The sequence below is a fragment of the Homo sapiens genome, chromosome 8, assembly GCF_000001405.40.
Source record: "Homo sapiens chromosome 8, GRCh38.p14 Primary Assembly".
Classification (NCBI taxonomy): Eukaryota; Metazoa; Chordata; class Mammalia; order Primates; family Hominidae; genus Homo; species Homo sapiens.
In genome coordinates, this window is record NC_000008.11 from 109,484,650 (window position 1) to 109,499,088 (window position 14,439).

At 33.3% G+C, this 14,439-nt stretch overlaps 1 protein-coding gene across 7 annotated transcripts in view; it reads left to right on the plus strand.

The window, feature by feature from the left end:
* The window catches only part of PKHD1L1 (PKHD1 like 1), a 174,747-nt gene that overhangs the window by 122,189 nt on the left and 38,119 nt on the right, over positions 1-14,439 (plus strand). For all 7 annotated transcript variants that reach the window (NM_177531.6, XM_011517371.3, XM_017013971.2 and 4 more), the window contains 10 exons: positions 395-524; positions 1,999-2,172; positions 5,303-5,406; positions 6,323-6,452; positions 7,224-7,345; positions 9,012-9,102; positions 12,270-12,418; positions 12,501-12,623; positions 13,813-13,924; positions 14,006-14,122. In NM_177531.6, coding sequence (NP_803875.2) covers positions 395-524; positions 1,999-2,172; positions 5,303-5,406; positions 6,323-6,452; positions 7,224-7,345; positions 9,012-9,102; positions 12,270-12,418; positions 12,501-12,623; positions 13,813-13,924; positions 14,006-14,122 — 1,252 coding nt within the window. The remainder of the gene's footprint in view (positions 1-394; positions 525-1,998; positions 2,173-5,302; positions 5,407-6,322; positions 6,453-7,223; positions 7,346-9,011; positions 9,103-12,269; positions 12,419-12,500; positions 12,624-13,812; positions 13,925-14,005; positions 14,123-14,439) is intronic.

Sequence of the window (14,439 nt, forward strand, 5' to 3'; positions counted from 1 at the left end):
ATAATAAGTGATAGTTAATTGTACTAAACAAACAAACAAAAAACTAGGGAAAAAATTCAACTCTTAATAATATTGTCCTGAGCAGTTTTTAATAAAAATGTGAATATGTTTGCTTTGATGTCTTTGCTTTTTTAAAAAAGGTATATTGCTGTGGTTTTACTAAATGGCTGAATTAAAGTTAAGAAAATGCTCAGATAATTCAAAATTTATAATTCTTAATATCAAACACAAGCATATATACCTTTAGAGACTTCAATGTACTGTTTATTCTTTCTGATAATACCATAATTGCCAATGAGATATACATTAAATTTGAATGATTTAATAATGATATCAAGAAATATAAATCTATTTTTAAAATTGTTCTTAAATTTGGCACTTGAATTTTTCTAAGGAGGGAGAAGAGATTGTGATAACAACCACAAGCTACGATTTCCACCAGACAGAAACAAGAAGTATCGTTAAAATCCTGCATGATCATAAAATTCTCATTCTTAATGATAGCCTTTCCTATACTCACTTTGGTAAGTGGATGCTTTTTAACCAAATAGATATATAATTGTGTTGAAAGATTCACATTTACTCTGTAATTATAATTCTTTGATAAAACATGTCACAAATATGTTAAAGGAGCATTTTATTCAGATTGGCAATGATACCCAGTGAGTGCTGCTCTTTCTGTGTTGGTTACCGATAGTCCCCGCTATGTGCTTTCATTCATTCAGCAAATATTCAGCAAAGACTTACTGTTTGACATTTTATAGGGTAAGGCTCAACACTTTCTGTTTGAAGCAAGCTTCCAGGTGATTCTTGTGCACGCTGAAATTTGAGGATCCTTGATCCAAAAGCCTTGTCCTAAATTGTTTCATGGATATAGTCTTTAGCGGTAAATGCATTTAGACAAGTAATAATGGAAGGATAAAACTATAATTGTTGAGGAAAGAAGGAATAAGCATGATCTGAAGATGAGTTTTCCACTTACAGGAGCAGGGCCTTCCCAGCATTCTAGCCTTTCCCCATTTGGCATGGTACCTTCATCCAAATCTCAGGAAGTGGGAGCAGACAGTAGTGAAAAGTTAGAAAATCCTTTCAGATGCCCATGATGCTCATGGGAACTCCAGATGCAAGACAGCATGATAGACTAGCAGACATTTGACCTGCATGAAAAAGAAATTGAAAAGAACTTCTCAAAGCAGTACTTTAATAGAAGCGCATGTGTCTATAATTCTATATCATATATTTTTCTTTAAATCATAAAGAAAAGTTTTATTTGAAAAATGTTTCATTGTAATTAGTTGTAAAACAGTTGGTTTTTGAAGTTTGACATTATAGATTCTTTCATTTAAAATATCAAGCATTTTTCTCTGTTTGAAATGCACCTGCTTGTCTTAAAGTTTTGAGTAACATTTCTTAAAATGTAGCGTGTAATCTAGGTTATGTTTTACAAATTGTTAAGATGTAAATGTACAGATGGTGTTGGATATGCTACTACCTATTGATGAAGACTTGTGGTTGATATAAAATATGCCACAGAAAAAGTGGAACAAACCAAGGTTTAGGTGGCAGGAGTGTTAATAGCTATGTGTTGTTGATTCTCCTCCTAGCTTTGGGCAAATTCTTTTACTTCTCTACCTTATTTCCTCATCTATTAAAATTACAATACACTTCTCAATTTGCCACACAACAGGGCTTTCATGTGTAATTTGAAGTGATTATATACTACCTTCAAGATTTGTTAAGTAGTAACTTTATACTTGCTGATTATAATAATCATTTTGATGTAAATAGAGGAAATATTTTTGATTATATTTCATTTTATAAATACGAATATCATAATATCAGACTGCCATCTATATATGTTTAACATGTAAATGTAATCATGCATTCATGTTCATTTTTGGCTTATTAGAAGGCTGTTTAGCATATAAACTGCAAAGGAACTAGTAAAGACAGATACTTCTCAGCATTGGCAATAATCTAGCTGCCTTTATACTGCAGCTGAAAAATACCATGTCCCTGGAACTGGTGAGAGCTACACGTTAGCAGCTGATGTTGGGATACTGAGTAGGAACATCAAAATAGTTGGTGAAGATTACCCCGGTTGGTCTGAGGACTCTTTTGGAGCACGCGTACTGGTTGGCTCATTCACTGAAAATATGATGACATTTAAAGGTTGGTATCAATTCAGTTTATTTTTCTAAATGAGCTATAACATTATCTCATCTATATGTAGTCAGCTCTTACATAATTCTCACTTTTTTAATAAGATTATGTGGGAAAATAAAGCATTAAAAGTGATTATGTAGCCCAGTTTTTACCTTCCAAGTAAATTCTCTTAAATTACTGCTTTTAATTTTATCTTCACAGACAAAATGAATTATCAAATTAACAATGACCTTAGGTAACAGTTAGACCAGTCTTTCACCTAACAGAGATAATTTTATAATAAGTACCACAGATCATTTATTGTTTTTGTTTTGTTTTAAGGAAAATTTCAAGCATACACCAAAAACAGAGAAAACAGTATAATGAATCCCAATGTACTAATCACCAATTTCAACAATGATCAACTTTGGCCAATCTTGTTTCACCTACACCTCCATCCACTTTCTTCATGCTCCTGGATTGTATTGAAGTAATCACGTATTATATCATCTAGAAATATTTTAGTATGCAACTCTAAGACATTTTAGAAAACATCAACAAATATCAGACCTAAAAATGTTAATTTCTTAATAATAATTTCTTATCATCAAATGATACTTCAAATTTCCCCAGTATCCTCCCTCCCTCCCTCCCTCCCTTCCTCCCTCCCTTCCTTCCATCCATCCTCTTGTTTCAAATAAGGATCTAAATAAGATCCACATTGCAACTGATTATGAATCTTAAATCTCTGATTCATTCCTCTCTCCTTGCAATTTATCTATAAAAGAAGTTGGTCCTCTAATTCTGTGGAGTTTCCAACAGTCTGGAATTGAGTGATTGCATTCCTGGAATTTAACTTGTTCTTGTCCCCCTGTATTTCCTATGCCTAGGTGATTTAAAACTAGAGATTTCAGGCTCAATTTTTAGTCAAGAATTATGCCAGACAGGGTGTCTCAGGCCTGTAATCCCAGCACTTTGGGAGGCCAAGGTGGGATGACTACTTGAGGCCAGGAGTTTGAAATCAGCCTGGGCACTATAGTGAGACCCAGCCAAAAGAAAGAAAGAGAGAAAGACAGAGAGAAAGAGAGAGAGAGAGAGGAAGGAAGGAAGGAAGGAAGGAAGGAAGGAAGGAAGGAAGGAAGGAAGGAAAGAAGGAAGGAAGGAAGGAAGGGAGAAAAGGTACAGTTGGTAGTGTATTTTTCCATCAGTAGGTACATAATGTATGATTGTTTCTCTTCTTACAATGTTAATAGCTACTAATTAACATTGCCTAGATTCATTAAATCATTAAGGTTTAAAATTTCCTTCTCATTTATAATAAAGAAAATCTCCCCTAAACAACTATTTGACTGCACTGAAAAATAGTTCATATAGGAAACACAGGAAAAAATGCTTGATTTTTCCTCATATTGACTAGGTTTCAAGATAATGTGTTGGTTCCCAAGCATCCTCCAAAGGTGACAGGGAGTTTTTATTGTTTTGTTTTTAGTATCATTATGTGCTCCTGGATCAAAACATATTTGACCTGTTCAAATCCATTGTGATTGTTAATCTGATTAATACTCAGAATGCTCCATTATTGACTTTCAGAACCTTTTCATGTTGATGCCTGTCCTCTTGACATGACTTAGTTTTCTAAGCTTCTTTACTTTCTGATACGGCAAGCACATATTGTAATTTTTTTCTAAGACTGGAACTCATTGTTCCTCCAAGTAATTCTGGTTCTTTTTATTGGAAGATGTTATTTGGATCCCACAATCTGGGTACTAGGAGTAGACCATCCATTCTTGATTTGAACTGTTTCTGCAGGTACTCATTTGTTCAAACACTGCCTATTTCGTTTTGCAACAGATCTATTTTAGAAAATCTTTATATTGAGCAAACAGCAGTCTCACTATAGCCTCTACTTGTTGGTCATAATCTGCCAGAGGAAGCTTACCTGATGATGATGGTGCTGCTGCTGCTGATAATGATGGTGATGGTAATGACGAACATGACACAAGATCACAGGCACTGTGCTAAGCATTAAACACATACAATCTTATTTAATCCTCATAATGTTATGGCATAAATATTACCCCTCTTTTAAAGATGAACAAACAGATGATTAAAGGGGTAAAGTTGCTTTGATCTTTAATATTAATTTGTGTCTTTCTCACTTCAAATTCAGCGATGAACCCTATTCCTATGACAATCTTTCCTTGCTCCTATAAATTGTTTTGTGACGTGAGTAAAGACAACACATCTATGGCTTTTGTAAGCCCAGGTGGCTTGTAGTAATCATGTCTTCTCTATCATTATCTCAATTATTCATATCTTCTCAACCATGTATAGAAGAATTGCCTCATGGATTTTAAGGTAGGCTTTCCTTTCTAGTACAAAATAACTTTTCTCCAACACATCCTATTAAGTATCAGTTTTTGAACAAATAATATTCTCTTTTGTTATTTTCCAGCCATGAGTTCCTGTGCCTCAGTTTTTTTTAACTAGATGATAGAGATATAAAAGTTCCTAACCCACAGGGTGCTTTATGGGAATTAAACCCCATATTGCCTGTTATGCATTTAGTACAGCACTTGACAAAGAGCAATCTCTCATGGATTGTTATTGCTGTTATTAGTAGTCTGTAAAATTACCCTTTGTCACCTCGATGGTACTTATGATAAGCTGACCAGCAGATAATTGGCAATACATATTCTGAAAGAGATTATAAAAGGTAATGCCCTTAAAAGCTCTTTATGGCATCAAAAGGGAAATATCAGGTAAATTATATTTTATGCCTTATGCCATACATTCTCAATTCGAAAATATCACCCCCCAGGAGGAAAAACTTAGTTCTTGAGGTGGGGGCAAAAAACGTAGGTATTACAATGGTTTGTGGTCCTCCAAAGGGCCACTGTATACTAACAGATATATGGTATATATGCGTTATTAAAATTTTGCGGGAGAGTGCAGGCTATTAGGAAAAAAAATGTTGAAAAAGGCTATTTGTGAGTACAATGAAAAGAGGTCTGAGAAATACTACCTCTTCTGGATTAAAGGAGCAAAGAATAATGATTTTTTCATGAAAAATTTGAACAACTTTGTGTAGCTTTTCAAAAATGTTTTATTCCAACTGTTTTAAGAAAAACAAATTTTAAATCTTTCCCTACCTTAGGAAATGCAAGAATAAGTAATGTGGAATTTTATCACAGTGGTCAAGAAGGCTTCAGGGATAGCACAGATCCAAGATATGCTGTAACGTTTCTTAACCTAGGACAGGTTTGTGCTTTATTTTTAATTTTGTGTATATTAAAAATATGCAAAATATTTTTATTTTCATTTGACTTCTAAATAGCCACATCTTATATTAGCTAAAATTATAATCTAATATAATAAAACTTTCTTGGCCCATTAACTTTTTAGACCTATATAAGCAGGATTTTATTCCACCCATATTGTGCGTTTATTTAAGGCCAGTAAAAACCATAGGAAAAATAGTATGGAGGGTGAAAGAATCAAAGATCTATAATAGTGGTTTATATATCCACTTTATTTTGCAATGACCAAAAACATTTTTCCAAATGGTTTCTAGTAAACAAAGAGAGTATTGCTTAAATTTCTCAAATGAAATGCATGTCTGATCTACACCTCCATCAAAAGTGGGAAAATAAATATTCTGAGAGGGCTGGTGATTTAAGAAAAATGAGAGACAGCATATTTCTTAGTAGAAATACAAAATAATCTGTAGGTTTAAATTGAAACCCCTAACCTGTTCACTGAATGGTTCTTAGAGACATTTGAATAGTAACTCCTTGACTAAAGTATTATTTTTTGTAATTAAAAAAAAATCCCTGTCATCATAAACTATTCTGAAAAAATAAATTTTAGCACCTTAGCATTTTATAAGTGATAATAGGAATATAAATGCATAGAAAAGAACTGGAGAATTTTGAAATCTGCATTTAAAGTAAGCATATATATTCAATATATCTAATAATAAATTCAGATATATGGAAATTTCCATATTTTATATATGGATATATTAAAGACTTATGGAGAAATCATCTTTAAGAGAAAGTGAATTGAGTATTGATTATTGATAAAGGTTTGTTTACTGAAAATCATTTACTTCAATTTTTAAAAATATATTGTAATTTTATTTTAAAAATGTTCTCTGTATCCCAATGTTGTATAGATTCAAGAACATGGCTCATCTTATATTCGAGGCTGTGCTTTTCACCATGGCTTCTCTCCAGCAATTGGTGTATTTGGGACAGATGGATTGGACATAGATGACAACATCATTCACTTTACAGTGGGGGAAGGTAATATAATAATATTTTGGTTCAAATTACACATCCTGTGGAGGCTTTCTTATCTATATACTCTAGAGCTACACTGCCCAATTGATCTTTCTGTGAGGATGGAAATGGTCTATATTTCTGCTGTCTAATATAGTAATTACTAAGTCATATGTGTCTATTGAGCACTTGAATTATGGCTAGGAGCTGAATTATGACTGAGGAACTGAATTTTTAATTTTAATGGTACATAATTTAATTGTACTTAATATACATTTAAATAGCCACATGTGGCTATGGTTATCATATTAGACACTATAGCCCTATAAAATGGAAGAATTTTTACCACATCACATTCTTACATGAGTTATCTAATCACTAATTATTTAAATTTAATACTCCTCACTTATCAATCACAAATATTATTACAAATAAAGGTTATATACAACTTTAGGCATATTATATTTATTTTTGTCAATATGAAGTATAATAAACATATTTAATGTATATGAAAGCTGTGGGTGTGTTTGTTAAATAAAATCTGAGATGGACCCTGTGAACCCACATATTTAACAAGCATCCCAGAAGATTCTAATTCAGGTAGTCTATTAAAGAGGTAGAGTTCATTATCAAAGAGTTCAGAAGACTCCTTCGAAACTCTAAGAGGATTGTTTGTCAGGCTCAAAGTAGAAAAATAATTTTATGGAAAAATCAAAAGACATTACTCCTAATAGTCGTTGCAAATTGACTTATGTTTTTTGGGGATTTTCTTTCTTTTTTTCTTTTTTTAAACAGGCATAAGAATATGGGGGAATGCCAACCGAGTCCGAGGGAATTTGATTGCACTTTCGGTTTGGCCAGGAACCTATCAGAACAGAAAAGATTTAAGTTCAACTCTCTGGCATGCAGCAATTGAGGTAGTGAAAACAAACTTATAATTATACTAATTTATAATTATATCAGTTATTGAAAAATATCTAATAAAATGAGCTAACTAAAGGAGTGAATGCACTTTTAAAAAGATGATGTAAGTTTCGATGGCCATTGATTTTTTTTTTTTTCTGTCAATGTCTATTGGTTTAAATAGTTCTCTTACCTCATTTCTTTTCCAACATTATTTCAAGTTCCAGTACAGGGCCTCTTTGCTGCTGCTCGACTGAGTGCTTTAGGTGTATTGCTACTTAATTCTGGATTTAGTTTCCTCCCTAAAAATGAAAATAGACAATGGAATCTCTAAAATTATTTTCTCATCTAAAATTGTCATGATTCTACAGGCAAGGTTATTATACTTATCTGATATTACTAATTGGAACCTTCTTGTTTCCCATGGAGTTTCTTCAATTACTATAGGTGTTTGTTGAGATATAGAGTAAGATTACAAACAAGAAAAGAGAAAGTAGAGGAGATAGCTTCCTCCTGTCTTTACCTATGACATACAATCAAAGGAAATTTAAAATAGTTATCTTTGAAAGATGGGATAAGGATTGAGTTTTTTTATGTGCAACTATTAATACCTTAAGGTAAAATCTGAAAGCTGAAATTTAGTATACATTTATGAGGTTAAAAATATTCTCTTTTTATCTGTTTATACGTATAGAATATCAATTCCAAATCTTTAAGGCTATCTATGGCTTTTGAAGGAAAAAGTACTTAATTGACATTTATGAATTCATGTGACTCTATTTTTATCAAAATATTTAAAAATAAGTGTGTTTGATATGATCACAACTTTTGACTGTTTTGCTGACACCATAGGGAAGAACGAAATGTGTGCTCTATGCTTCCATTTTTTATTACTTTGACTTGGGTTATAAAATAAAATTGTTTGTAATTACCTAACACTCATGCTAACCTACTTTGTGATTATAGCATACATTATATAAACTAGTCAATGTCTCCACTGAATCTTATGATCCACTCTCATTGCCTTAGTTGTCCTTTTTTAAATAAATTAATCAAATTGGTAACAAAATGTAACTAAAAAGAGCTTGCACCTGTAATCCTAGCTACTTGGGAGGTTGAGTTAAGAGGATTGCTTAAGCTTAGGAGTTTGAGATCTACCTGGGCAACATAGCGAGACCCTGTCTCTCTCTCTCCATATATATATATATGTTATATGTATTCTATATATGCATACTTTTATATAAATATATATTTATATTAAACATATATAAATATAATACATAAACATATATTTATCACTTTTTCAGTGATCACAACTTCCTGAAAAAAGTGTTAACATTCTCCTTACCTTCTTGTAATACTGGAATTTGTTCTGTGCCTTGTAAATTTTAAACCACATTCAGTGGATTTTGTGACTGAAATAAGAAATAATCTCTTTAATGTAGTTTTTAAATGAAGTCCAGGCTGTAGTACTTAATGATGGTTTTACACCAAGAACCTGGTGTAATTTCATCATTTGTAATTAAGTTTGAATGGGGTAAATAATAAATACAAATTTTCCTCCTGAAAATGTAGTCATAATTAAAGGTTTTCATAAGTGTATTGTCATATACTTACTCTCGATTTATATAAATGTTTACTAGCCTGATGCACAGTATTTTTTTTTAATCATTGCACTAGATAAATAGAGGGACCAATACAGTTTTACAGAATAATGTAGTGGCTGGATTTGGAAGAGCAGGATACCGCATTGATGGTGAACCTTGCCCAGGTAAGTCTTTTAAACCAGGAATCGCTAAAACTAGGAAATAACTTGTACAAAATTGTTAAAATAAATAATTATTGTTTGTTAATTCAATATGTGATGTCTTTTCCTTCCGGGCACTGAAATAACTCAACAAGATAAATTATTTCAAGATAACATTGGATCTAAAAAAATAAATAAATAGGTTTCTAAGGAAAACTTTATTTTCCCAAGTTTATGATCCCAAAACTCCAACGACAACTTGAGTTCTTGATTTGGTTGGTATTGGGACAGTAAGTACCTCATCCCACCACCATTTTTAAAAAAACGGCACTTATTATAGAGATACATGTTGACATATGCCATTATTTTAACTTCTGCTTTGATAGAATAAATGCTCACTATTCATATGTTAAACCTGCATGCATCAAAAAGTCAACAAACATGAACAGACACTTCTCAAATATAGATTTCTCTATATTGGATTAGTAAAAATTAAGAGGTAACTGAGCATCTACTCTTTTGGCAAGGCTGTAGGGAAAGCGAAACATTTACACCTTGCTGGTTGAAGGACAAAACAATATAATCTCTACTTAGGGTAACATGACAACATCTACCAAAATCACATGTGCGTTTACCTTTACTCAGTATTTCCACTTCTATGAATCTAGCTAACAGTTGCCTTTACAAACTTAGAAAATTATCTATGAACAAGGTTATTCATCACAGCATTGTCTGTACTAGCAGAAAACCGAAAGCCACTTTGTGTCCCGCAATGGTAGAATAGTTATATAAAGCCAGACGATGGAACACTAGACTACTCGAAGAAAGAAAGCAGAAGAGTTCAATGTATTGATATGAAGAAATCTCTAGAATATTCTTAAGTGCTTACTGGAGAGTGCAAAATAGTTTATATAATACTATTTTAGGTATAATACCTATAAAATATGTTTTGTGGAAGAAAGGGAAGGAATCAGAATGTATATGGTATTTGTATTTACATAAGGAAAGTATAAAAATCATAGAAAGTAATTGGGAACAAGGAGACTCAGTACTTATAATTGCATACTTTTTAAATAACCTCTATATTTTCAACCAATAATTTATAATAAATAATTACCAGATCAAAAAAGTAAAATACATAATAAATCTGCAGACTTTACCCCTCAAGAAATTTAAAGAAATTTAAAGAAAATGGGACTTTCTTTGAGAAATGTATGTCCCTTCCAGAGTTGATTTTAAAAGAAAAGTCTCAGTATAGTTACTTTTTAACAGCTTTATTTGGCATGATTTATATAGCATAAATTTCACCTTTTAAAAAATATACTAGTTAAAAGTGTATTTATTTTTAAGATTCTTTGAATCAGCATTTTTTTTCTGTCAATTCAAACATTTTTAGACTTAAGCTGGTTTTATTCTTGTGCAAAATACATTCTGAAGGAATAAAAACTACTTTGTCAACATATTTAAGTGATTCCTTGATATATGCTCTTGTTAAATATTTTAGTTCCCAACCACTTAAAGTGGCTTTTCTTTGACTTAAAAATTTAAAATATGTAATTTCTTTACAACTTCAATAAAGTTATCCTTATGGATTTTTCAACATCAAAATATCTTTGAATATGAATATTTACTAGTATGTATAATGCTATGTAATGCATTTTTCACTGACTATGTTGGTATTCCTAAATAATTGAGACTATTTATAAGGAGATTTTGGAGTTATAGCAACTGAAATATGAAACATCACAGAGGAATGAAGAGTTTACGTTCCTGTAATGGTACATCAATTTATTCAATCCATCCTCCAGGCAAGAGTCTGGGAAACTGGGGATAGTGATATACACTGGGTTCAGGGGTCAAACCCTATTTGTCCATGCATCTATATTGTGTGATTCTAAGGGAGAGAAATGTAAACATCTTCTTTTAATAATAATAATTTTAATAATGCAGGAAAATTATCAAAACCAGGAAAATCATAAATAAAATGTAAAACCCAATGGACTAGGAAGAAGGGAAAATCAGCAGAAGATAAAAGGAAACAGATACCAGGGAACCTGAACAGGAGAGCTGGTATTAAGTACAATTTAGGAGGTGGTGCTGCTCTTTATAGACAATCCTCCAATTCATGCCTGTGTGGGGAGGGAGTTATTAAGGTTATTGAACTGACTTGGACATAAGTAAAACTTTCATGAAAATCCCCTTTGTTGTATATATTAATAATGAGTATAGTTGCCATTTATTGAGAGTATTTGCTAGGCACTGTATGTGGGTTATTTCCTTTCATTTTGAAACAATTCTGAATTAATCATTAAAACTTTTTACATATGAGGAAACTAAGTTCCTAAAAGGTTAAACAACTTTCCCAAGATAATGCATACACCAATTGTTAAAATATTTAAAGACCACCTATCTCTGTACTACCTTCTAGGCTCCAAGAAATGATGGTGAATGAGCTAGGTGCAATGTCTTCTGTCATGAAGCTTACATCTTAGTAGGAGAGAAGAGATGGATAATTCACAAATAATTAATAATAAAAATATCAAGTGAAAGGAATTTTAATTGTAATGTAAAGTGACTGAGGTATTATATTGTATCAGGTATTTAGGGAAGGTCTTTTAAGGAAGTGACATTTGACTTGAAAATGGGATGGCCAGAAGGACATAGCAATGGAAAGATGTTCAGGGGAAGCATTTCACAGACAGTAAGCTCTACCAAGTTTAGGCTTATTTGTATCTAAATCCCATGCTCTTTCCCATTAAATTAATCTTTAATCAGATAAAATAATGTAAGTGTGTTAACACTAAACTTTTGCAAATAAGTATACAGTTATTTTAAGTAACAGTGAAGAGACTAGTTAGACAAAAGTAAATACTAATTAGAATAAACCAGGCGAGGTGGGGCATGCCTGTAGTCCCAGCTACTCAGGAAGCCAAGGCAGGAAGATGGCTTGAGTTTGAGACGAGTTTGAGTAACATAGTGAGACTCCATCTCAAGAACATTTAAAGAAAAACACTAAATAGAGTGAACCATAAATGGCAGAGCCATAAAAATATTTGATCATATTAAACCTGATATCAGAATTATGTATGTAATTTTGAAAAGAATTTTGTTAACTTTAACTGATACTGCTTATTAAAACTATATGACATGAAATGTAGTGTTCATTCTCTGGTTCTATATTTCCCTCCAAGGCCAGTTTAATCCTGTGGAAAAGTGGTTTGACAATGAAGCCCATGGAGGTTTATATGGGATCTATATGAACCAAGATGGCCTTCCTGGATGTTCTCTTATACAAGGATTTACCATTTGGACATGCTGGGATTATGGAATTTATTTTCAGGTAATTATGATTAAAGATGGTGATTGTTTATTTTCTTTTATGATTGTCCTTAGTATTATGTAACCTGCAAATTCTATTGCAGACCACAGAGAGTGTGCACATTTATAATGTGACCCTGGTTGACAATGGAATGGCCATTTTTCCAATGATTTACATGCCAGCTGCTATATCACACAAAATTTCCAGTAAAAATGTACAAATTAAGGTAAGAAATTAATACAGCCACACCATGGAGAAAAAAATAACTTGGAGAAGGGTGGAATTTCTGAAGGACTAATAAGAATAATCTCCTTAACTTCTATCTCTGTCTCGCCCACACCTCCCTGCCTTTGTTCCCACTGCCCTCTGCCTAAAAAACCGTTCTTTTTTTTTTTTTTTTTTTTGAGATGGAGTCTCGCTCCGTAGCCCAGGCTGGAGTGCAGTGGCACAATTTCGGCTCACTGCAAACTCTGCCTCCCGGGTTCACATCCTGCCTCAGCCTCCCGAGTAGCTAGGACTACAGGTGCCCGCCACCACGCCTGGCTAATTTTTTATATTTTTAGTAGAGATGGGGTTTCACTGTGTTAGCCAGGATGGTCTTGATCTCCTGACCTCGTGATCCGCCCACATCGGCCTCACAAAGTGCTGGGATTACAGGCGTGAGCCACCGCACCCAACAAAAAAGCTGTTCATTCTTATCTCTCCTCCTCCCTTCCCTCTTCTTGCTTATCACCTGCTAATCTTGAAATAGTTAAATTTTCACTCCCTCTATGAAGTTTTTTCTGAGCCAGTTTAGGTGGTAATGACACTTCCTCCACTTTTTTGTGCCTACTGTTCCCTGGATGTATTTATCACAGAAACATAACATGTCCTTATATGTAATTATTTACATGTCTGTCTTCCCTCTCCTATTCTTAGTGCTTTTCCAGTTGGGGTAGCAACCTTTTTCATCTTTGTTTAATGAATGATCCACTTTTTGAATTTATAGTTTGCATTTTATTTACTACAGTAGAATTTAGTACTATTCATTATCATGTTTTCTTTTTTTTTTTTTTTTTTTTTTTTTGAGACGGAGTCTCGCTCTGTCGCCCAGGCCGGACTGCGGACTGCAGTGGCGCAATCTCGGCTCACTGCAAGCTCCGCTTCCCGGGTTCACGCCATTCTCCTGCCTCAGCCTCCCGAGTAGCTGGGACTACAGGCGCCCGCCACCGCGCCCGGCTAATTTTTTGTATTTTTAGTAGAGACGGGGTTTCACCTTGTTAGCCAGGATGGTCTCGATCTCCTGACCTCATGATCCACCCGCCTCGGCCTCCCAAAGTGCTGGGATTACAGGCGTGAGCCACCGCGCCCGGCCCATGTTTTCTTTTAGTAAGAGCTATTATTAATGCTATATTGTTTGGCTTATTTCCAAACAGAGCTCATTAATTGTTGGAAGTAGCCCTGGGTTTAATTGCTCTGATGTCCTAACTAATGATGATCCTAATATTGAACTCACTGCTGCTCATCGGAGTCCTAGATCTCCATCAGGTGAAAAATTTGAAACTTTAATGTTGTTGTTCATATGAGTGCATATTCAATTTTCATTAACTTTTTCTTTTTTGGTAAAAGGTGGGAGAAGTGGGATTTGTTGGCCTACCTTTGCTTCAGCTCATAACATGGCACCCCGAAAGCCCCATGCAGGAATCATGAGTTACAATGCCATCAGTGGCCTTTTGGACATCTCAGGCAAGTACACAGTCTTTTACAAATCTTCTCAATTAATTTCTGTAAAGAATATGTAGAGGATAACTAATAATGTTTCATTGTTAGTAAAAATGATTTAAGTGAATTTTTATAGCAATCTGCTCAATATGACAAAGAAATCAGACATCAGAGTCAATTTTGAGAATGGTTTCTTGGCAGGATTCTTATACTGTATGTTGAAGAATTGATGTTAAATTTTCCTTCTAAAACAACAACAAAACACTGGCATTTGTGATTTAATATTAATTTGTATAATTTGTAAATGCCCTTTCATGTAAGTAGGATTATATATTATCATC